The following is a 25,342-nucleotide window of genomic DNA, read 5'->3' on the forward strand; positions in this document are numbered from 1 at the left end:
TATTTGATTCAAGCACTTTTATTTTCTTAAGCCAATTAATTAGAGCTCTATTATATATTGACAGTAGTGAAACATTGTATACACAACACATGAATACATAGATGTATTAGGCATGCCTATAGAAATATATCTTATAGATTCATAAAAACTGTTTTTTTCCTCTGTCTTAGACTTTCAGATTCTTGATAACCTGTTTCACAACCCTAGACAGTTGTCAGCTAAATAGCCTTAAATTTTGCTATTGAAGGAAACAACTGAGGTGAAAATCAAATAGCAAAATTTACATCATAATGTAGACAGAGAAAGTCTGGTGGTGCTAGAGGGAGATTAAAGATGCTAGAGGGAGATTAAAGATGCATAACAATCAAACAAAATTATAGAAATTTATCATAGGATTGTACAAGGAGACCAATTTTATTTAGATAGGGACTACCTATTTTTAACTGGATCTCTGAGGTCTGAGAAGAGCCCACACTAAATCCTAGGTCTCCAAAAAGGGAGAATTATGATGAGGTTAGGGCAGGTGATGCTTTTACAGTGCACTTAAAGTTTTTTTTAAACAAAGACATTTTTATGTGTCTAAACTACACTCTTCCTTAAAAACCCAAGTGTAGCCTCTGTTGCAATAACTATTTTAGTTTAAAAAAAAAAGGAAAAAAGAAACAGGTAACATAATATAAAAGTAAGCAGTTTAAGAGCTAAGATGAACTTGTCTGTTTACACTCTTGGGGTTCCATAACTAAAAACAGAGATTTCTCCCCAAAAGGGCATCGGGAGTCTGGTGCCTTCTTTTCTTTTCTTTTTTTTTTTTTTTTTTGAGACAGAGTCTCACTGTGTTGCCCAGGCTGAAGTGCAATGGTATGATCTTGGCTCACTGCAACCTCCACCTCCTGGGTTCAAGTGATTCTCCTGCCTCAGCCTCCTGAGTAGCTGGGATTATAGGCGCCCACCACCACACCCAGCTAATTTTTGTATTTTTAGTAGAGATGGGTTTCACCAGGTTGGCCAGGCTGTTCTCGAACTCCTGACCTCAGGTGATCCACCTGTCTCGGCCTCCCAAAGTGCTGGGATTACAGGCGTGAGCCACCATGCCCGGCCTGGAGTGCAGTGGTGCAATCTTGGCTCACTGCAACTTCCACCTCCCGGGTTCAAGCAATTATCCTGCCTCAGCCTCCTGAGTAGTTGGGATTACAGGCACGCACCACAATGCCTGGCTAATTTTTGTATTTTTAGTAGAGACGGGGTTTCAAGGCTGTCTTTACCAAAGACCAACCTTGTTGGCAAGGCTGGTCTTGAACTCCTGACCTCAGGTGATTCGCCCACCTTGGCCTCCCAAAGCATTGGGATTACATGCATGAGTCAGTGTGGCTGGCTCCTTCATCATTTTCTTTAAGGAACCCCTGGCTATCATAAACTGTTTTAGGTCCCTCATGCAGCAGAAGGTGCAGGAGAAAGGAGAGACAGCAGAAGTAAATGAAGAAAACAGAATTCAGTCAACTGAGAAGAAAAAAAAAATTTGCTTAAAAAAAAGACAAGGTCCTAGGAGAGAAACAAAAATATGAAGGCCTTTTAAACACACACACACACACACACACACACACGCGCGCGCGCGTGCGCGCGTACACATCTTGGATGTTAGCTTTCAACTAAGCTGACTTTTAACCATTGAGATCATTTGGAAAAAAATCTTAAAATCTCATGTCCATATTTCAGCTAGGACAAATTACTGCTATTTCAGAAGTACAGCCATTGCTGTTTCAGTTTGGCCTGGCTAGCAAAAAGGCAGCCTTGTTATGTAAATAAAGCCCCTTTAGTAGTCAAAGTCAAAAATCTTTCCTCTTTTTTTTCCTTTTGCCAGCCATTTTTCTCCCCCCACCACATCACCTTTGTGTGTGTGTGTGTGTGTGTGTGTGTGTGTGTGTGTGTGTGAATTTAGCCATTTCAGAGGCCTTGTTCTCCATAATTTGGAACTTTTCTCTGGATTTGATCAAGTCAGATAGAGTTGATCAAACCAAATGGGAAAAAGACCAACACAGCAACAAAAACAGAAAGAAATAACAACAAGAAAACTGTTAAGGAAAACAAATAATGACACAACTTCTATGATTACTGAGTGCTCCAATGGCAAGGAGAAATTAAGACCAGCTCGTTGTTAAACTTTAGCCAAGACAAACCCCAATTCAGTCACTTTCCTAGGGATGGGTCTCAGGAGAAAGAATGCTCTCTACCATCCTAGAAGCAGGAACAAACTCGAATCTGTCTTCCCTGTTGGAAGGGAGCTCAAGCTCCATAAAGGAATTACCTGCCTTCCAAGAATTTCATGGAAGCAGGAAAAACTTGCCTTGATTGTGTTGGAAGTGAGTAAAATTAAAAAAAAAAAAAAGAAGTTGTACAGCAAAATAAACTTTAAATCTTGGGAGATCAGAGATTGTCTGGGGGTGGGGGGCCTTCAGGCTTCAGCAAATTGTCCTACTGGTTTGAGCCATAAAGATAGCTCAAACTGGTATCAAGCACTGTTAAGAGATTTGTCAAAGGTCAGGGGCACCTCCACTCAGAATCCCTTTGTAGTTACCAAAATGTATACCCTGAAAATCTGAGACAGGTCTCAGTTAATTTAGAAAGTTCATTTTGCCAAGGTTGAGGATGCATGCCTGTGACACAGCCTCAGTAAAGTGGCCTCATCATCTGGGGTGACACTTGAAGTTTATTATCTCACATCCATGGAGATCAAGGATGCAGACACACAAAGAATGACTTTAAGAGCAGAAATTTAATAAGTGAAAGAGAATAGCTCTCTGCTGCAGAGAGAGGTCCTAGAAAAATGGGTTGCTGATCCATGGTGAAATGCAGGGGATTTTATAGATGAGCTAGTGGGGAGGCAGTGTCTGATCTACATAGGGTGTGAAAAACCACCAGGACCAGGTGTGCCATCTGCACAGGATGTGAGTCTCTGGCAGCCTCTGCCCCAATTTTTTATTATGCAGGTGGGTTCTGTGCCTGAACTTCTTCATGTTGCCCATTTCTTACTGTATACATGCTAACAATAAAGGGAAGGTGGAGCCCCATGGTGGGCATGCATGGCCCCCAGGTAGCCCTTTTTTATTGTTGTAGCCACAGGCCTCCCCCTGTACAAGCTTCCAGCTTCCTTTTCTGTCTTTGCAGCTCTATCTTTCAGGCTGCTCTGTATTAGAAAAGAAATTATTTCTAGGGCTGCTTTTTGTTAGAAGAGAAGTTTTGCCAAGGACTCGTTTGCCCTCACTATCTGCCCAAATAATTTCTTTTTATATCCTGTATCATCAGGAGGTCCTGACGACATGTGCCAAGGTGGTCAGGGGACAGCTTGGTTTTATGCATTTTAGGGAGACATGAGACATCAATCAATATATGTAACATGTACATTGGTTTTGTCCAGAAAGGCAAGACAACTCAAGCAGGGAGGGGGCTTCCAGGTCACAGGTAGGTGAGAGACAAATGAGAGACAAACGGTTGCATTCTTTTGAGTTTCTGATTAGCTTTTCCAAAGGAGGCAATCAGATATGCATTTATGTCAGTGAGCAGAGGGATAATTTTGAATAGAATGAAAGGCAGGTTTGCCCTAAGCAGTTCCCAGCTTGACTTTCCCCTTTAGCTTAGTGATTTTTGGGGCTCCAAGATTTATTTTCCTTTCACATATGCCAGTACCATGCTGTTTTGGTTGCTATAGCTTTGTAGTATATTTCAAAGTTAGGTAGTGTAATACCTCTTGCTTTGTTATTTTCACTTAAGATTGCTTTGACTACTTGAAGTCTTTTGTGGTTTCCTATTCATTTTAGGATTATGTGTTATTGGTTTTTTTGTTGAGTTATAGAAGTTCTTTAAATATTCTGGATATTAACCACCTATCAGATATATGATTTGAAAATCTTTTGTCCCATTCTGTAAATTTCCATTTTACTTTCTTGATAGTGTCCACAAAAGTTTTATAATTTGATGTAGTTCCATTTTGCTTTTGTCGTCTGTGCTTATGATGTCATATCCAAGAAATCATTGCCAAATATCATGTCATTATAATGTCATGAAGCTTTCCTCCCTTATTTTGTTTTTATTTTTATTTTATTTTATTTTTTTAATTTTTATTTTTAGACAGAGTTGTTTCACTCTTGTTGCCCAGGCTGGAGTGCAATGGCACGATCTTGGCTCACCGTAACCTCTGCCTCCCAGGTTCAAGCGATTCTCCTGCCTCAGCCTCCTGAGTAGCTGGGATTACAGCAATGCACCACCACGCCCGACTAATTTTCTTTGTATTTTTAGTAGAGATGGGTTTCTCCATGTTGGTCAGGCTGGTCTTGAACTCCCGACCTCAGGTGATCCACCTGCCTCAGCCTCCCAGAATGCTGGGATTACAGGCGTGAGCCACTGTGCCTGGCCTCCTCCCTTATTTTCTTCTAAGAGTTTTATAGATTTATCCCTTACATTTAGTTATTTGATACATTTTAAAATTAATTTTTAAAATATTTTTCCTTTTTTTGAAACAGGGTCTCATTCTGTCACCCAGGTTGGAGTGCAGTGGCAACATCATAGCTCACTGCAGCCTTGAACCCCTGGGCTCAAGTGATCCTCCTGCTTCAGCCTCCTGAGTAGCTGGGGCTACAGGTGAGTGCCACCACAGCCTGCTAATTTTTAAATTTTTTGTAGAGATGAGGTCTCTTTATGTTGCCCAGGCTGGTCTTGAACTCCTGGGCTCAAGTAATCCTTCTGCTTAGCCTTCCAAAGTTCTGGGACTTTGATGCATCTTGAGCAATTTTTATATATGGTGTAAGGTAAAGATATACCTTTTTTTTTTTTTTTTCGCATGAGCATATGAAGTTTTCCCAGCAGCATTTGTTGAAAAAACTGTTCTCACCAAATTGTCTTAACACCCTTGTCAATGATCATTTGACTATATATGCAAGCATTTATTTCTGGGCTTTCTATTGTACTCCATTGATCTATATGTCTGCCTCTATGCTAGTACCACACTGTTTTGATTACTATAGCTTTGTAGTAAGATTTGAAATCAGGAAGTATGAATTTTCTGAATTTGTTCTAATCTTTTCAGATTGTTTTTATTATTTGGGAGTCTCTTGAGATTTCATATGAATTTTAGGATGGCCTTTTCTATTTCTACAAAGAAGATCACTGGAATTTTGGTAGAGATTGCACTGAATCTGTAGATCCCTTTGGATAGTATTGGCATCTTAACAATATTTACTATTTCAATCCATAATCACAGTGCATCTTTCCATTTATTTGTGCCTTACTTAACTTCTTTAAGCAACATTTTGTTATTTTCAGTGTAGAAATCCTTTGCCTCCTTGGTTAAATTTATTCCTAAGTATTTTATTAATTTTGATGTTATTGCAAACATAATTGTTTTCTTAATTTCCTTTTCAGATTGTTTATTTTAGTGTATAGAAATACAATGGATTTTTGAGTATAAATTTTGTATCTTGCAACTTGAACTGAATTGAATTGAATATAATGAATTCATTTTTTTTTTTTTTTTGAGATGGAGTCTCACTCTGTCGCCCAGGCTGGAGTACAGTGGCGTGATCTCAGCTTACTGCAACCTCCACCTCCCAGGTTCAAGCAGTTCTTCTGCCTCAGCCTCCCGATTAGCTGGGATTACAGGCACCCGCCCCCATGCCCAGCTAATTTTTGTATTTTTAGTAGAGATGGGATTTCATCATTTTGGCCAGGCTGGTCTCAAACTCCTGACCTCGTGATCCACCCACCTCAGCCTCCCAAAGTGCTGGGATTACAGGTGTGAGCCACCGCACCCGGCCAAATTCATTTCTTAATTCTAACATTTTGTGTCTGTGTTTTTACATATAAGATCTCTTGTGTTTTTACATATAAGATCATGTTGTCTGCAAACAGATAATTTTACTTCTTCCTTTCTCAGTTGAAGGGGAAAGGGAGTTTTCTTTTTCTTGCTTAATTGCTCTGGTTAGAACATCCAGTACTATCCAGTACTATGTTTAATAGAAACGGTGACAGCAGGCATCATGATCACGTTCCTGACCTTAGAGAAAACTTGCAGTGTTTCATCATTGAGTATGTTGGCTGTGGGCTTTTTACATACCCTTTTTTTTTTTTTTTTAACAGAGTCTTGCTTGCCTAGGCTGAAGTGCAGTGGCATGATCTCAGCTCACTGCAACCTCCACCTCCTGGGTTTAAGTGGTTCTCCTGCCTCAGCCTCCCCAGGAGCTGGGATTACAGGCATGTGCCACCATGCCCAGCTAATTTTTGTATTTGTAGTAGAGATGGGGTTTCGTCATGTTGCCCAGGCTGGTGTCAAACTCCTGATCTCAAGTGATCTGCCTGCCTTAGCCTCCCAAAGTGCTGGGATTATAGGCGTGAGCCACCATGCCTGGCCTATTTATATGCAATTTTTATTATGTTGACATAGAGTCCTTCTACTTGTAATTTATTGGCTGTAATTATGAAAGGGCATTGAATTTTGTCAAGTTTTTTTCTGCATCAATTGAGTTGGTCATGTGTGTGTGTTCATATTTTACTATTCAATAGATTTTTAGTAAGCTTTGGTTTCATCTTCATGAATCATGGAAGACTTGAAAGGCCAAAGACACTCCAAGAAATTTACTTTAGCACCTTCTTTCTAGGCAGAAAGATAAGGCATCCCCATGAAAGATAGTGTATTGGACCCCTCTTGTACACCGTTTCAAAATTTTCTGTTTCTCCTCTTATTTCAGCCACAACTGTAGGGGACTGTTTCCCTGCATGTTTTGAGCAGCTTTGCACAGGTGCACCTGGGCAGTGACCTCACCTCATCCCTCATACTGTATCATTTGCTTCCTGCCCTATGCATCTCTGTTCTTCAGCTTAATAGTCCTAGGCATCCACTTCACACTCAAGCACAACCCAGCTGTGATGGGAAGTCAGTGCCATGGGGTCTACTCTTGACCGATGAAGATCTGGAGTCAATGGATAAATGCATCCCCATTTCATCCCCTGATGGACAGTTTTGAGATGCTTCAGAAAACCCCTACAGGTCCCAGTGGGATCAAACAGCCAATTTAATAATGCATCCTTGTGGTGGTCTTTCCCTTGCTCTGTTTCACTCCCCTTATCCTGCATTTCTGCTCCCCAGAATCACATTAGCAAACAAGCTACCTATGCACAAGCCTTTTGGGGGACCCTAGGCTAAGGCAAGTGGGTGGCAGCCTTATATTGGATTTGCAAAACCTCATATCTTGGATTTATGCTTCAAGAATACAGCACTCATGATAGGCCCCTTGGTGTGCCCCCATCACCCCTATGCAAGGACTTCTCAACTGCAGTGATGTGTCTCCTTTTTTTTTTTTTTCGAGACAGAGTTTTGCTCCTGTTGCCCAGGCTGGAATGCAATGGTGCAATCTTGGCTCAGCTCACTGCAACCTCCGCTTCCCAGGTTCAAGTGATTCTCTTGCCTCAGCTTCCCGAGTAGCTGGGATTACAGACATGCACCACCACGCCCGGCTAATTTTTGTATTTTTAGTAGAGACAGGGTTTCTCCATGTTGGTCATGCTGGTCTCGAACTCCCAACCTCAGGTGATCTGTCTGCCTTGGCCTCCCAAAGTGCTGGGATTACAGGCATGAGCCACCGTGCCTAGCCTGATGTGTCTCTTTTTTTTATGGCTGAAAGAGGAAACACGAAGGAAACAGATACTCACTGAGCACTTATGGCCCACCCTTGCTTTAGTTATTTTACTTATCTCCTTTATACAAGGAGGAAGCAGATTTAGAGAGGCCAGATAACTCATCTAATATCTCATAGTAAGAATGCAAGCCAGGATTTGAACTCAGTCCCATGAATTCAAAGCCCATAATCTTTCTATAGCATGTGAAGTCATTTCTTCTTGGGTCTCTGCACTTGGTTCTCCTTCATCACTTCAGGCAGCATAAGATGCTGAGCTTCTACCAATTGCTATTTTTTTCTTCCTTTGTCTTTATTAAGGTAAATAATATGTATATAATTTACCATCTTTACCATTTTAAGTGTCAAGTTCAATGTAATAAATACATTTATATAATTTTTTCCATTTATCTTCCTACTCACCTTTCTTCTTCCCAGCCTTTGGTAACAACCAATCTACTCTGTATCTTACTCACATGTAAGAGCTCTGAAGCTCTAAAGCTCTTCCATATGAGTGAGAACATGTGGTATTTGTCTTTCTGTGCTTGGCTTATTTTGCTTGACATAATGCCTCTAGTTCCATCCATATTACTATAAATAACAGGATTTCATTATTTTAATGGCTGAATAATTTTTTATTGTGTATATTTACCACATTTTCTTTATCTATTCATCTGTTGATGAGCACTTAAGTTGATATTGTATTAGGGCTATTGTGAATAGTGCTACAGCAAATGTGGGAGAGCAGATAGCTCTTTGGTGTATTTATTTCCTTTTTTCTTCTTTTTAAAAATATGCCCAGTAGTGGAATTGCTGGGTAGCTCTGTTTTCACTTTTTTGGGGAACTTCCATACAGTTCTTCATAGTAGCTGTACTAATTTATATTCTCACCAACAGTGTATGGGGGTTCCCTTTTCTCTACATCATTGCCAGAATTTGTTATTGCCTATCTTTTTGATGCAGACTATTTTAATTGGGGTGAGATTGATGATATTGCATTGTGGTTTTGATTTGAACTTCTTTGATTATTAATATTGAGTATAGCTTCATATACCTGTTGGCCATCTGTACATTGTCTTTTTGTATGTCTTTATGTGTCAAAATGTCATTTTGTATATCTTCTTTTGGGATGTGTCTGTTAAGATCTTTTGTCTGTTTTTAATCTTTTTACTTTTTTTTATTTTTTAGATACAGGGCCTCACTCTGTCACCCAGAGTGGACTGTAGTGGCTCAATTATAGATCACTATAAACTCAAATTCCTGGGCCCAAGTGATCCTTCTACCTCAGCCTCCTGACTAGCTAGGACTTCATTTTTGCTTTGGTTGCCTGTGTGTTTTGAGGTCATATACAAAATTCTTTGCCCAGACCAATGTCCTGGAGCATTTCCTCAGTGTTTTCTCCTGGTACTTTCATCATTCCAGGTCTTAGATTTCAGTCTTGAATCCATTTTGATTTGATTTTCATGTATGCTGAGAGATAGGGTTCTAATTTCATTCTTCTTTAAGATAGTTATCCAGTTTTCCCAGCATCATTTACTGAAAAGACTGTCTTTTTTTCATTGTATGGTCTTGACACCTTTATCAAAGATGAGTTGGTTGTAAATATGTGGGTGTACATCTGAGTGCTCTGTTTTGTTCCATTGGTCTATATGTCTGTTTTTATGTGAGTACCGTGCTGTTTTACTTACCATAGCTTTGTAGTAAGTTTTGAATTCTGGTAGTGTGATGCCTCCAGGTTTGTTCTTGTTGCCAGGATTGCTTTGGCTATTTGGGATCTTTTGTGGTTCTATATAAACTTTAGAATTTTTTTTCCTATTTCTGTGAAGAATGTCATTGGTATTTTGAGAGGGATTGCATTGAATCCGTAAATTGCTTTGGGTAGTATTGTTATTTTAACTATATTAATTCCTGCAAACCATGAGCATGGAATATCTTTTCATTTTTGTCTTCTTCTATTTCTTTCATCAGAATTTTATAGTGTTCCTTGTATGGATCTTTCTTTCTCTCTCTCTCTCTCTGTCTCTCTCTCTCTCTCTCTCTCTTTTGAGATGGAATCTCACTCTGTTGCCAGGCTGGAGTACAGTGGCGCAATCTCAGCTCACTGCAACCTCCATCTCCCGGGTTCAAGTGATTCTCCTGCCTCAGCCTCCTGAGTAGCTGGGACTACAGGCACATGCCACCATGAATGCCTGGCTGATTATTTTATTTTATTTTTTGTATTTTTAGTAGAGATGGGGTTTCACCATGTTGGCCAGGATGGTCTCGAACTCCAGATCTCGTGATCCACCCACTTCCAGCTCCCAAAGTGCTGGGATTACAGGTGTGAGCCACCACGCCCAGCCTTGTATAGATATTTCTTCTCTGGTTAAATTTATTCCTGGGTGTCTTACATATTTTGTAACTGTTGTAAATGAGATTGCTTTCTTTCTTTCATTTTTTTTTTTTTTTTTTTGAGATAGAGTTTTGCTCTTGTTGCCCAAGCTGGAGTGCAGTGGCCTGATTTCAGCTCACTACAACCTCTGCCTCCCGGGTTCAAGCGATTCTCATGCCTCAGCCTCCTGAGTAGCTGGGATTACAGGCATGTGCCAGCATGCCAGGCTAATTTTGTATTTTTAGTAGAGACAGGGTTTCTCCATGTTGGTGAGGCTGGTCTCAAACTCCTGACCTCAGGTGATTTGCCCGCTTTGACCTCCCAAAGTGTTGGGATTACAGGCATGAGCCACCATGCCCGGCCCTGCTTTCTTGCTTTCTTTTTCAGATCAGTCACTGTTGACATATATAAATGCTCCCGATTTTTATATGTTGTTTTGTTTGTACCCTGCCACTTTACTAAATTCGTTTATCAGTTCTAATAATGTTCTTGGTGGAGTCTTTAGGTTTTTGTAATTATAAGATAATGTCATCTGGAAACAAGGCTAGTTTGACTTCTTCCTTTCCAATTTGGATGCCCTTCCTTCTCTTGCCTAATTGCTCTGGCCATGACTTCTGGTATTATGCTGAATAATAGCAGTGAAAGTAGGCATCCTTGTCTTGTTATAGCCTTTAGAGGAGGGGCCTTCACTTTATCTATGTTGAGTATGCTATTAGCTATGGGTTTGTCATACATGGCCTTTATTATTTTGAGGTAGTTTCTCCTATACCCATTTTGATGAGTTTTTTTTTTTTTATCATATAGGGATGTTGAGTTTTATCAAAATTTTTTTGGCATCTATTGAAGTAATGGTTTTTGTTATTGACTTTGTTAATGCAATTGTATCATGTTTGTTGATTTGCATACGTTGAACCATCTTTGTATCCCTGGAATGAATTCCACTTGATCATGGTGAATGACTTTTTCAATGTGTTGTTGAATTTGGTTTGCTAGTATTTTGTTGAGGAGTTTTACATTATGTTTATCACTGATATTGGTATGTAGTTTTCTTTTTTTGGTTGTGTCCTCCTCTCATTTTGGTATTGGGGTAATGCTGGCCTTGTAGAATGAGTTTGGAAGTATTCCTTCCTCTTCAGTTTTTTTGAGGAGTTTGAGTAGGATTGGTATTAGTTCTTTAATGGTACAATTCAGCAGTAAATCCATCAGGTTCAGGGCTTTTCTTTAATGGGAGACTTTTTATTATGGCTTGGATCTTATTGGTTTGTTGAGGTTTTCTATTTCTTCATGGTTGAATCTTGGTAGGCTTTAGAGGTCTAGGACTTTATCCATTTCTCTTAGATTTTGAAATTTGTTGTGTAGTTGTTCATAATAGTGTTGTAGTCTCAGCAATGCATGAAGATGTAACAGTCTCTCCTTGTCTGAGATGACACCTGGAGTTCTTTGTCCTACCTCCAAGATGATTAAGGAGTACAGACACAAAGGTGAGGTTAGAGCAAAAGTTTAATAAGCGAAAGAAGAAAGCTCTCTGCCAGCAGAGTGGGGGGCTCAAATGGGGTGCCCACTATGAGGCTGGCGTCCCGGGTTTTATGGACTGGGAAGGGGAAGGAATGTGCTTAGTTCCTGGGCTGTCTTGGAGAACACATAACTCAGCTTGGCCCAGAGACCTTGGCCGCAACCAATCAGGAGCTGAAATGATGATTTATAGCTGCTGCTCAGCTTGGCCCAGGACCTATCAGAAACTGAATTGAAAGCTTGGCCCAGGACCTTAGCCTGGGACCAATCGGGCTGAAATGATAATTCATAGAAGCCGGACTTACAGTCCAAATAAAGGAAAATAGAGTGACCACTAGAACCCACCGGAGCCCACTGTGCCCATGCCCACAAAAGGAGAAGAAACTTTTCCTCAGAACCTGCTGAGTATACAAAGGACAAAGGCATTTCTATGCCAGGCCTTGTTCTCTTATCTGAGTGAGCTGGAGGTTTGCACAAGTTTGTATCCCAAAGGGCCAGAGGTTTTACTATCTGTGCCACCATGGGCATGTCTCTAGGCACAGCACCCTGTGTTAGTTCCCTTATCAGCCTAAATTTTTTCTCAGGCTGCTTTTTTTTTTTTTTTGAGGCAGAGTCTTGCTCTGTCACCAGGCTGGAGTGCAGTGGCGCCATCTCAGCTCACTGCAACCTCCGCCTCCCAGGTTCAAGCGATTCTCCTGCCTTAGCCTCCAGAGTAGCTGACACTACAGACGGCACGCCACTACGCCCAGCTAATTTTTATATTTTTAGTAGAGACAGGGTTTCACCATGTTGGCCAGGATGGTCTCGATCTCTTGACCACGTGATCCACCCACCTCCACCTCTCAAAGTGCTGGGATTACAGGCGTGAGCCACCGCCAGGGCCTCTCAGGCTGCTTTTTATGTTATGTGAGAATGAGGCACTGACCCACGGGCCAGGGGCTCTCTGGCACCCTTCCCTTGTTATCTATCTAAGGCAAGCTAAATAACTCCTTTCAATAGTATCTAATAATCCTTTCTAAGGTCTCAGTTGTTGTATCTCCTTTCTCATTTCTGATTTTATTTGGATCTTTCTCTTTTTCTCTTAGTCTAGATAAATGTTTGTTGATTTTGTTTATCTTTCCAAAAAAACAAGGTCGGGCATGGTGGCTCATGCCTGTAATCCCAGCGTTTTGGGAGGCTGAGGTGGGCAGATTACTTGAGCTCATGAGTTCAAGACCAGCCTGGGCAACATGGCGAAACCCCATCTCTATAAAAAATACAAAAATTAGGTGGGCGTGTGGGCACATGCCTGTAGTCACAGCTGTTTGGTGGGAGGATGGCTTGAGTTTGGGAGGTGGAGGTTGCAGTGAGCAGAGGTGGTGCCACTGCACTCCAGCCTGGGCAATAGAGTGAGACCCTGTCTAAAAAAAAAAACAAAAAACAAAGCCCACCAAACCACCTTTTCATTTTGTTGATTTCTTTTCATTTATTTCTGTTCTAATCTTTATTGTTTCTTTCCTTCTACTAATTTTGGGTTTGGTTTGTTCTTGCTTTTCTAGTTTCTTGAGGTGTATCGTTAGGTTGTTTATTTGAAGTCTTTCTACTTTTTTGATATAGGCGTTAGTTGCTATAAACTTCCCTGTTAGTATTGCTTTTCCTGTATCCCATAGACTTTGATATGTCATATTTCCATTTTCATTTGTTTCAAGACATTTTAAAATTTCCTTTTTCTAGGCCAGGTATGGTAACTCATGCCTGTTAATCCCAGTGCTTTGGGAGGCCACTGTAGGTGTATCTCTTGAGTCCAGGATTTTGAGACCTGCCTGGACAACATGGCAAAAACCAGTCTTTAAAAAATAAAAATAAAAAATTAGCCAACTGTGGTGGCGCATGCCTGTGGTCCTAGCTACTCAGGAGTCTGAGGCAGGAGGATCTCTTGAGCCTGAGAGTTTGAGGCTGCAGTGAGCAGTGATCACATCACTGTACTGCAGCCTGGGTAATGGAGCAGGACCCTGTCTCAAAAGAGAAAAAAAAAATTTCTTCTTTTATTTTTTTCTTAAGAGATGATCTTGCTATGTTGCCTATGCTATGTTGCCTGGGCATAGCTCATTACTGATCAGCATGCAAGTTTTGACCTGCCCTGTTTCCAACTTGGGTCACTTCCCAGTCTCCTTGGGCAACTTGATGATCACCTGCTCCCAGGAGGTCACTGTATTGATGCTGAACTTAGCATGGACACCTAATTGACATACCATACTATAGCCCAGAACTCCTAGATACAAGTGATCCTCCAGCCTCAGCCTCTTGAGTAACTTGTACAATAGGCATGTACCACTGCACCTGGCTCCTTCTTAATTTTTTCTTTGACCCATTGGTCATTCAGGAGCATGTTGTTTAATTTCCATGTGTTTGTGTATTTTTCTGAGATTCCTCTTGTTATTGATTTCTGTAGTTTTATTCCATTGTGGTCAGAAAAAATACTTGATATGATTTCTATTTTTTCAAATAGAAGTCAGACTTGTTTTTTTTGGATAGAAATCAGACTTGATACAGACTTGGTTTGTGGCTTAAGGTATGGTCTGCTCTGGAGAACGTTCCATGTACTGGTAAAACTGCTGCATTCGATAGCAGTTGGGTGAAATTTTTTTTTTTTTTTTTTTTTTTTGTCACCCAGGCTGGAGTGCAATGGCATGATCTCAGCTCACTGCAACCTCTGCCTCCTGGGTTCAAGCAATTCTCCTGCCTCAGCCTCCCGAATAGCTGGGATTACAGGCATGCGCCACTACGCCTGGCTAATTTTTTTTTTACTTCATTTTTAGTAGAGACGCGGTTTTACCATTTTGGCCAAGCTGGTCTCGAACTCCTGACATGAGGTGATCCTCCCACCTCGGCCTCCCAAAGTGCTGGGATTACAGGTGTGAGCCACTGTGCCCAGCCGAAATTTACTTTAAATGTCAGTTAGACCTATTAGATCTTGTGTAGTTTAACTCTGCCATTTCTTTGTTAATTTTCCGTGTGGATGATCTGTACTTTACTGAGAGTGAAGTGTTAAAAGCCTCTACTATTATTGTATTATAGTCTAACTCTCTCTTTAGAGCTATTATGTTTGCTTTATATACTTGGGAGCTCTGGTGTTGGGTGCACAGATTATTTATTTATTTATTTATTTATTTTTGAGACGGAGTCTTGCTCTGTTGCCCAGGCTGGAGTGCAGTGGCGCGATCTCTGCTCACTGCAAGCTCCACCTCGCAGGTTCACGCCATTCTCCTACCTCAGCCTCCCGAATAGGTGGGACTACAGGCGCTGGCTACCATGCCCGGCTAATTTTTTGTATTTTTAGTAGAGACGGGGTTTCACTGTGTTAGCCAGGATGGTGTCGATCTCCTGACCTCGTGATCCACCTGCCTCAGCCTCCCAAAGTGCTGGGATTACAGGTGTGAGCCACTGCACCCAGCCGGGTGCACAGATTATAGTCTCTTCCTGAATTGATGCCTTTATCATTATACAGTGACCCTCCTTTTCTTTTTTATAGTCTTTGATTTGTAGCATATTTTATCTTATATAAGTATAGATAGTCCTGCTTTTTAAAATTTTCCAGTTGCATGGAATATCTGTTTCCACCCCTTCACTTTCAGTCTACCTGTGTCTTTAGAGGTGAAATGGGTTTCTTGAAGGTAGCATATAGTTGGTTTTTGCTTCTTTATCCATTCAGCCACTCATGTTTTCTAGCTGGAGAAGTGAGAACATTTACATTCAGTGTTATTATTGATAAGTAAGGACTTACTACTGCTATTTTGTTGCTTGTTTTCTGGTTGTTTTGAGACTTGTCTCTTCCTTTCTTACTGTCTTCCTTATCTTGTAGTATGTTTTAATTTGTTGCTTTTTACTTGTAGTGGATCTATTATAAAAACTGCTGTGGTTACCATGAAGCTTACAAAAATGTTTTTATAGATATGAGTTATTTAAAAGAGATGACAACTTATCTTAGATCCCAAATAATAGAAACAAACAAAGCCAAAAAAACCCCCACAAGTTTTACAGTTTAATTCCTACCCCCACGTTTTAACTTTTAGTTGTCTCAATTTATACTTTTTTTTTTTTTGCGATGGAGTTTCACTCCATTTTGAGATGGAGTGCCGTGGTGCAATCGCAGCTTACTGCAACCTCTGCCTCCCGGGTTAAAGCAATTCTTCTGCATCAGCCTCCTGAGTAGCTGGGATTACAGTTGCCTGCAACCACATGCATCTAATTTTTGTACTTTTAGTAGAGATGGGGTTTTGCCATGTTGGCCGGGCTGGTCTCAAACTTGTGACTTCAGGTGATCCACAAGCCTCAACCTCCCAAGCTGCTTGGATTACAGGCATGAACCAATGCTCCAGCCAATTTATACATTTTTATGTAAAATAATAAGTTTTCTTTTGCACATTAGTGTTTTCTTCTTTCAGGTTGAAGAACTGTCTTTAGCATTTCTTGCAAGAAGGGTCTGGTGGTGGTGAATTCTATCTGGGAAATACTTTATCTCCCCTTAATATTTTAATGACAGTTCATTTGGATACAATATCCTTGGATGGCAGTTTTTATTTCTTTGAGTACTGAGCATGTCATTCCACTCCCTCCTGTCCTGTATGATTTCCATTGAGAAGTCTGTTGCCAGACACATTGGAGGTCTTTTGTATGTTATTTGCTTCTTATTTCTCAGTGGTTTTAGGATCTTCTCTTTGTCCTTGACCCTTGAGAGTTTGATTATTATATGCCTTGGGATAGTCTTATTGGGTTGAATCTGTTTGATGTACTAACACCTTCCTGCACCTGGATATTTATCTCTTTCTCCTGTTTTTGGCATTTTCTGTTATCATTTCTTTGAAGAAGATTTCTACCCTTTGCTCTTGGTCAGCTTCCTCTTGAACATCATTCTTAGATTTGGTCTTTGGAGGTAATTTTCTCTATCTTCTTTCTTTCTTTTATCGAGGCAGAGTTTTGCTCTGTTGTCCAGGCTGGAGTGCGGTGGCACGATCATGGTTCACTGCAGCCTCAACCTCCTGGGGTCAAGCGATCCCTCCCACCTACAGGCCCCAGCCACCACCCCAGCTGAATTATTGTATTTTTCGTAGAGATGGGTTTTCGCCATGTTGGCCAGGCTAGTCTTGAACTCCTGACCTCAAGTGATCTGCCTGCCTCGGCCTCCCAAAGCGCTGGAATTACAGGCACGAGTCACCACTTGCCCAGCCAAAACTGCTATTTTGAATTCCTGGTCAGAGAGCTCACAAGTTGCCATCTAGATAGGGTCACTCTCTGGATTTTTGGTTTGTCTTTTTGGGGAGGTCATATTCGTCTGTTTACTGTTGTTTCTTGTGGGTATATATATATGTTTTTGCAATGGAAGATTAGTTATTTATTCTAGTTTTCTCTGGCTTATTTTGCTTTTTATTGAACATATTTGCTTGGTGAATCTTTGCTACTAAGTCGCTGCCTTCTCTGTGGCTGTAGGTGGCACGTTAAGCCCAGGTTTGCCTCTTCTCTTCTAAGTGGTCAGAGCGCTGCCTGTCCTAAATGGAGGAGGTCCTAAAGATATTATCCCAGCAGTGAGGGAAGATTGTCTAGGAGTTCATGCCCAGGGGACCTGGGGAACTCCCTCCTACAGCATGGTGCTGGTGAACAGACACTCTGATTTAGCATCTCCTTTGGCTGAGTTACAAAGCGGTTTCTGAGGCTGGGGGTGGTAGTCCTGCCTACCCTGCTTGTTTCTGCCTGTCCTTAGGGTTAATTCTCCCTTCAGGCAGTCACGATGCTACCCATGGGTTAAAGCATGGAGAGGTCTCCTGCCTGGGAATCCAAGAAGTTGGAGAAGTGGCTGACAACCTCAATTTCACTTTTTCCATTGTAGAAACCATGAGCTGCAGGGAGACTGGTGCCAGGCATAATAGGGGGAGGGGCATCATGGATATGGAAGTCCAATTCTCCTGTCCTTTGCTTGAAGTTTTTCCTCTTCTCTGTGGCCCTGGGAATGGTCTCACCCTTGTACTTGAGCTCCGGGTTGTTGCTGGTGAGGAGTTTGGAGGTGCATATTTGGTTTTGGTTTTCTGTGGTGGGGATTGAAGCCATCTTGGAACTTCTTGTCATGTGTTTTTAAACACATCTATTTATAAGTGTAATATAAATAGTAAAAAAAAGTGTATTTTGTATGTTTTCTTTACATATATAATTTAGTAGATGTTTTAAAATAAAAATGAGACAATATTAAAGAGTATGAAACAATAGAAAAAATGAGATGAAATATGAACAGTTGATTTCTGTGTATGTGTATATACACACCTACACTTTCCTTTTAGATACTACAGTTTACTCTAAAACATGAAAATTCAGAAGTCCTTATCAGGTACTTGGTTTCAAAAATAAACTATAAATTTGAAAAGGCAGAAGTAATGCGAGAGACATTGACCACAATGCAGAAATTTAAAAATGAAAGGTAACAAAAAATGTATCCATTTGGACATTGAAAACATACATTGGAGTCTTAGCTTACAGAAGAAGTAAAAGTAAAAATTGCAGCATAAAGAAAGGAAATGACATTCAGCATACATTTCGGAAACTGAAAGATATTTTGATAAAAACAAGAAGAAGCAAATAAATGAGTTTAATACCAATGTAAGAAGCTGGAAAAGGACCAAATGGCCAGGCATGGTGGTTCATACCTGAAATCCCAGCATTATGGGAGCCTGAAGTGGGAAGATACGTGGGACCAGGAGTTCAAGACCAGCCTGGGCAAGAGAGTGAGACACTGTCTCTAGTACAAAAATTAGCCAAGTGTGGTGGTGCTTGCTTGTAGTCCCAGCTACTTGGGAGGCTGAGGCAGGAGAATCACTTGGAATAGCCTGGGTAACAGAGCAAGGCCCCATCTCTTAAAAAAAAAAGAAAAAGAAAAAGAAAACCAAAAGTAAGACATAACCACAGGTGTGGAGGAGAGTATGTAATTGTAAAGAAATACGATATAATCTTTGGCAAGAATAAAATTAGGAGAAAGGTATGTGCTTCTCTAGGAAGGACATGCCTGTTATTAAAAAGTGTTTAAAGAATAAGGAAAACCTTTGATTCACTAAACTGCAGGTCACTTCTCAGTAGTTTCAACCAGCACTTATTTTTTTGTGTCTGTATTGTTTATTTGGAATTTTCCTCTATGGTTTGTTTAAATATCAGTAAAGATCTGAATGGCACTGTGTTTTTACTTCATCATTTGTACATAGGATGTTCACCCATTGTTGAAGAAAGCGTTTTGTTTAGGAGAGAGTGTCTGTGTACTGTGGTGTGCGATGGTAGATGTGATTATCACTGAAGGTCACCGAAATGTGAAAATCCCTGGTACTGGCTTGACAGCTGTGTGGAAATAAAGACAACTCAAACGGGAACAATCAGGGCCCACTTAGAAAGTGCTTGCTAAAGCAAGAGAGTCAGCCACTTTTGACAAAGTGGGAAAGCTTTGTAGTGAACAAAAGGGAAGGCATCAGATGTGCTGTTGACTGGAGGCTACTGACATGGGACACTGGAAGTGTCTAATAAGCATTCAGGCATCTCATATGACTGGTTATGGGAGTACATTTGGCTTTCTCTGCTTGGTTCTGAGTTGGAAGCCAGGGCACAAATTAGAGAAGCTGCATCACTGCCATGTCCTGACTGGTGTGGGTTTGTTGCTACAGCAGTTCCTGGTTTGCCTTTCTGAGCTGGTTGCTGCAAAGGGTGTGGGTCACACCCTGCTAAGATTCACACTGACAAATGTATGCAGGCTTGGGAGTGAATGGAGAGGAAGCCATTTAATCATGGGGCCAATGAGTCTCTGCCTTAATCATGGGATTTGAGGTGACATTCAGTGTTTTATACATTGATTGATTTCTTTATTGAAGTGAGTTTTATATAATATAAAACTAACCATTGTAAAGAGAACGACTCAGTGGCAGTTGGTAGATTCACAGTGTTGCTCAACCATTGCTTCCATCTAGTTCCAAACAATTCCATGTCAAAATATAGCTCTGTACCTACCTGTTAAGCACCTCCTTCTTATTTCTCCCTCCTCCTAGCCCCGGACAACTGCCAGTGCTCTTTTCATCCATATGGATTTACTTACTCTGAATGTTTTAAATAGAATCATACAATATGTGACCTTTTGTGTTTGTCTGTTTTTCCTAAGCATGTCTTCAAGGTTCATCCACGTTGTAACAGATGTTATAATTACTTTCTTGTAATTTTCTTTCTCTTTTCATTCCTTTTTTTTTTTTGACACAGGGTCTCACTCTGTTACCCAAGCTGGAGTGCGGTGGTTCAATCTCGGCTCACTGCAGCCTTGACCTCCCAGGCTCAATTTTTCCATGGACAGGGTCAGGGGGATGGTTTTCGGATGAAACTGTTCCACCTTAGATCATCAGGAATTAGTTTGATTCTCATAAGGAGTGTGCAGCCTAGATCCTTTGCATGTGCAGTTCAGAATAGGGTTCATGTTCCTATGAGAATCTAATGCCACCGCTGATGTGACTGGAGGTGGGGCTCAGGCGGTAATACTTGCTGGCTCCTTTGTTCACCTCCTGCTCTGTGGCCCGGTTCCTAACAGGCCATGAACTGGTACCCATCCACGGCCTGGGGCTTGGGACCACTGCTTTAAATCCTAGATTACTTTAATACCTAGATTCCTAGGTTACTTATAATACCTAGTACAGTGCCTACATATAACTTTATTGGTGTGGATTTGACTTAGTATTTGGCTCAGGGAAAATTCAATTTTTGCTTTTTGGAACTTTGTGAAATTTAACATATTTTTGAATATTTTAAATCTGAGTTTGGTTAAATCCAGAGACACAGAACCCATGGATACGGAAGGCCCATAATATATACACAATGGAATATTACACAGACTTAAAAAGGAAGGTAATCCTGTCTCATGCTCCAACATGGATGAATCTTGAGTGCTAAGTGAAAGAATCCAGTCACAAAATGACTGTGTGATTTCACTTACATGAGTAATCTAAAGTAGAAAAATTCATAGAAACACAAAGTAGAATGGTATTTACTAGGGTGTGGAGGGAAGGGGAAAAATGGGGAGTTGTTTAATGACTATAGAGATTCCATTTTGCGTGATGCAGAAGTTCTGGGGACCTGGTCCACAACATTGTGAATATATTTAATGATACTAAAATATATGCTTAAAAATGACCAAGTTGGTAAATTTTGTTGTGTGTTTTAATATAATTTTTTTTTTTGAAACAGGGTCTCACTCTGTTGCTTAGGCTGGAGGACAGTGGCACCATCTTGGCTGACTGCAACCTCAACCTCTTGGGCTCAAGCGATCCTCTCACTTCAGCCTCCCAAGTAGCTGGGACTACAGGCATGCACCACCACGCCCAGCTAATTTTTATATATGTTTTTTTGTAGAGATGAGGTTTTGCTATGTTGCCCAGGCTGGTCTTGAATTCCTAGGCTCAAGCAATCCTCCTGCCTCAGCTGGGATTACAGGCATGAGCTATTGCATCCAGCCTGCAATTTTTAAAACATCAAAATAAATGTAAAGGCTATGTCTTAGATATATTTTTTTAACCAATTAAAAATAGTAAAATTTTCTCTTATAGCACGGTGGTCATGCCTGTAATCCTAACACTTTGGGAGGCTGAGGTGGGAGGATCACTTGAGCCCAGGAGTTTGAGACCAGCCTGGGCAACATAGGGAGACCCTAGTCTCTACAAAAAATGCAAAAATTAGCCAGGCATGGTGGCATGTGCCTGTAGTCCCAGCTACTTGGGAGGCTGAGGAGGGAGGATCACCTGAGTTTAGGAGGTCAAGGCTGCATGAGCCATGACTGCAGCACTGCACTCCAGCCTGGGTGACAGAGCAAGACCCTGTCTCAAAAAAATAAAAAAGTTTAAAAAGTGTAAGCCAAATTGTGAGTGAATGAGAGAGAGAGAAGTAGGGTGGGGTGGGAGGTGTGTGTGAGTGTCTAGATAAATATTTGATCAGTTTGCAGAAGCAAATGAATTTCATCATCAGGGCAAATTTATTGGAGAAAGTTTTGCCATGGTGAAGGTATTTCCTTGGGATAGGAATGAAGCAGGGAAATACTAATTTGTGCCTCTGGATATTTAAATTATTCAATGACAATCTGTTTAGATGTCTTTGCATAGATAATGCAAATTAGATTGGGAATTGCCAAAATTTGGTGCCTGAACAATGTAATTTTAAAATTTTTTAGATGAGAACATAATTTCTATTTCCAGCTCTATTCAGACACTGAAGAAGACTTAGGTTGGCCAATTCAAGGTCACCTCTTTTTTTCTTTGAGACGGAGTCTCACTCCGTCGCCCCGCTCTGTCTCCCAGGCTGGAGTGCAGTGGTGCAATCTCGGCTCACTGCAAGCTCCGCCTCCTGGGTTCACGCCATTCTCCTGGCTCAGCCTCCCCAGTAGCTGGGACTACAGGCGCCCGCCAACACGCCTGGCTAATTTTTTGTATTTTTAGTAGAGAGGGGGTTTCACCGTGTTAGCCAGGATGGTCTCAATCTCCTGACCTCGTGATCCGCCCACTTCGGCGTCCCGAAGTGCTGGGATTACAGGCGTGAGCCACCGCGCCTGGCCACTTTTTTTTTTGTATTTGTATTTTGCAACTTTGTTGAATTTATTTATTAGTTCTAACAGTTTTTTGTGTGGAATCTTCTACACGTAAGATAATAATTACAAACAGATGATTTTTCTTCCTTTCAAAATTGGATACCTTTTCTTTTTCTTGCCTAATTGCTCTGGCTAGAAATTCCAGTGCTATGTTGAATAGAAGTGATAAAAGTGGACATCCCTGCCTTGTTCCTGCTGTTAGAGGAAAAACTTTTGTCTTTCACCATTAAGAATGATGTTAGCTGTGGGTTTTTATATATGGCCTTTATTATGTTTCCTTTACAGAAACTGCCTTCCCATGACATTTTATTCCTTTTATTCCTAGTTTGTTGAATTTTGTTTTAATCATAAAGAGGTGTTGAATTTTGTCAAATAATTTTCTTGCATCAATGGAGATGTTCATGTGGTTTTCTCCCTTCAATTTGTTAATGCAGTGTATTACATTGATTGATTTTTATATACTCAATTATCCTTGCATTCCAGGAATAAGTCCCACTTGGTCATGGAGTATAATCCTTTTAAATTAAATTAAATTTAATTAATTAATTAATTAATTAATTACTTTGAGACAGGGTCTCGCTTTGTCATCCAGGCTGGAGTGCAGTGGCACCATCTTGGCTCACTGCAACCTCCGCCTTCCAGGTTCAAGTGATTCTCATACCTCAGCCTCCCAAGTAGCTAGAACTATAGGCGCACGCCACCATGCCCAGCTAATTTTTGTATTTTTAGTAGAGATAGGGTTTCGCCATGTTGGCCAGGCTAGTCTCGAACTCCTGAGGTCAAGTGATCTGCCCGCATTGGCCTCCCAAAGTCCTGGGATTACAGGCATGAGCCACTGTGCCCGGTGTAATCCTTTTTAAAAAAGAACATTTTATTGAGGTATAATTTACATACTTTGAAATTTAACCATGGAAAGTATTCAGTTTGATGAGTTTTAGTTTATACAGTTGTGTGATAATCACCATAATTTAGTTTAGAGCACTTCCTTCACTCCCAAAAGTTCACTTTGTAGTCATCTAACCTTCCCACCCCTAGGCAACAACTAATATACTTTCTATTTTTAAGATTTGCCTTTCTGGAAATTTAATAAGTAAACTCATACAATTTGAGGTATTTTATGTCTGGTTTCTTTGCTTAGCATAATAGTTTCCTTTAAAAGTTTTATTGATACATAATAACGACACATATTTATGAAGTACATGTGATATTTGAATGTATACATACGATATGAAATGATTAAATCAGAGTACTTAGTCTATCCATCACCTCAAACGTTTACTGTTTTTGTGTTGGGAACATTTCAAATCTTCTCTTTTAGCTATTATGACATATACAATATATTGGTGTTAACTATAGCCATCCTACTGTGCTATCAAACACTAGAACATATTCCTTCCATCTAACTCTATGTTCCTACCCATTAACCAATGCCTTTTCATTCCCCTAGGCCTGTCCTGTTCCCAATCTGTGGTAACCATTGTTTTACTTTCTACCTCTATGAGATCAACTTTCTTGTCTCCCACATATGAATATGTGATGTTTGTGTTTCTGTGCTTGGCTTATTTCACTTAACGTAATGACCTCCAGTTCCATCCATTTTGGTGTAGAATAACAGGATTTAATTATGTTTTTATGGCTGAATAATATTCCACTGTGTATATATAGGACATTTTATTTATCATTCATCCACTGATGGATACTTAGGTTGATTCCATGTTTTGGCTATTGTGAACAGTGCTACTACAATAAACATCAGGGTGCATGTATTCCTTTGGTATACTGATTTCCTTTTTTTTTTTTTTTTTTGAGGAGTCTCGTTCTGTCACTCAGGCTGGAGTGCAGTGGCGTGGTCTTGGCTCACTGCAACCTCTGCCTCCCAGGTTCAAATGATTTTCCTGCCTCAGTCTCCCAAGTAGCTGGGATTACAGGTGTGCACCACCACATCTGGCTAATTTTTATATTTTTAGTAGAGACAGGGTTTCACCATGTTGGCCAGGCTGGTCTCGAACTCTTGACCTCAAGTGTTCCACCAGCCTCAGCCTCCCAAAGTGCTGGGATTATAGGCATGAGCCACCACACCCTGCCTGATTTCCTTTCCTTTGGATAAATACCAAGTTTTAAGATTGCTTCATTGTATGGCAGTTCAATTTGTAGTTTTAAAAAGAACCTCCATATCATTTTCCATAATGGCTGTACTAATTTACATTCCCAGCAGCAGTGTATAAGAATTGCCTTTTCTCCACATCTTGCCATTATTTTTTTTTGTCTTTTTTGATAATACCCATCCTAACTGGGGTAAGGGGATCTCTCATTGTAACTTGCATTTCCCTGATGATTAGTGAGGTTGAGCATTTTTCCATATACTTGTTGCCTATTTGTATGTCTGTCTTCTTTTGAGACATGCCTATTCAGATCCCTTGCCACTTTTTAATTAGATTATTTGGGTTTTGTGTCGAGTTGTTTGAGTTCCTTGTATATTCTGTATATTAGTCCCTTACAAGATGAATAGTTTGCAAATATTTTCTTCTATTCTATATGTTGTCTCTTCACTCTGTTGTTTTACTTGCTATGCAGAAGCTTTCTAGTTTCATATAATCCCATTTGTCAATTTTTGGTTTTGTTGGCTGTGATTTTGAGGTCTCCGTCACAAAATCTTAGCCTAGACCAATTCCTGAAGCATTTTCCCTATGTTTGCTTCTAGCAGTTTTATGATTTCAGGTCCTACACTAAGTCTTTAATCTGTTTTTAGCAGATTTTTTTGCATATGGTAAAAGATAGGGGTATAGTTTTATTCTTCTGCATATGGCTGTCCAGTTTTCCTAGTACCATTTATTAGACAGTGTCCTTTACCCAATGTATATTCCTGGTGACTGTTAAAAATCAGTTGGCTGTAAATACATGAATGTTTTTCTGTGCTATTTATTCTCTTCATTGGTTTAGTATATATAGAAAGGATGCCTCCCACTTTGTTCTTTATGCTTACATTGCTTTGGCTATTTTGAGATTTTTTGTGGTTCCTTACAAACTTTAGGAGTATTTTTTCTATTTTTGTGAAGAATGTCATTGGTAGTTTGATAAGGATTGCATTAAATTTGTAGATTGCTCTGGGTAGTATGGTCATCTTAACAACATTAATTCTTTTGCTCCTTAAGCGTGGCATGTCTTTCTGTTTGTGTCCTCATC

At 40.4% G+C, this 25,342-nt stretch overlaps 1 long non-coding RNA gene and 1 pseudogene across 3 annotated transcripts in view; one reads left to right on the forward strand and one right to left on the reverse strand.

The window, feature by feature from the left end:
- ZNF337-AS1 (ZNF337 antisense RNA 1) overlaps positions 1-25,342 on the forward strand; it is a 54,030-nt gene that overhangs the window by 16,972 nt on the left and 11,716 nt on the right. The window contains exon 2 of one of the 3 annotated variants that reach the window (NR_126465.1): positions 4,515-4,632. The exons of the other annotated variants lie outside the window; for them this stretch is intronic. This is a non-coding gene — a long non-coding RNA (ZNF337 antisense RNA 1). The remainder of the gene's footprint in view (positions 1-4,514; positions 4,633-25,342) is intronic. 3 annotated transcript variants of the gene reach the window in all.
- Positions 13,579-13,865, reverse strand: RN7SL594P (RNA, 7SL, cytoplasmic 594, pseudogene; annotated as a pseudogene).

This window comes from Homo sapiens, chromosome 20, assembly GCF_000001405.40.
Source record: "Homo sapiens chromosome 20, GRCh38.p14 Primary Assembly".
In the NCBI taxonomy this organism is placed as follows: Eukaryota; Metazoa; Chordata; class Mammalia; order Primates; family Hominidae; genus Homo; species Homo sapiens.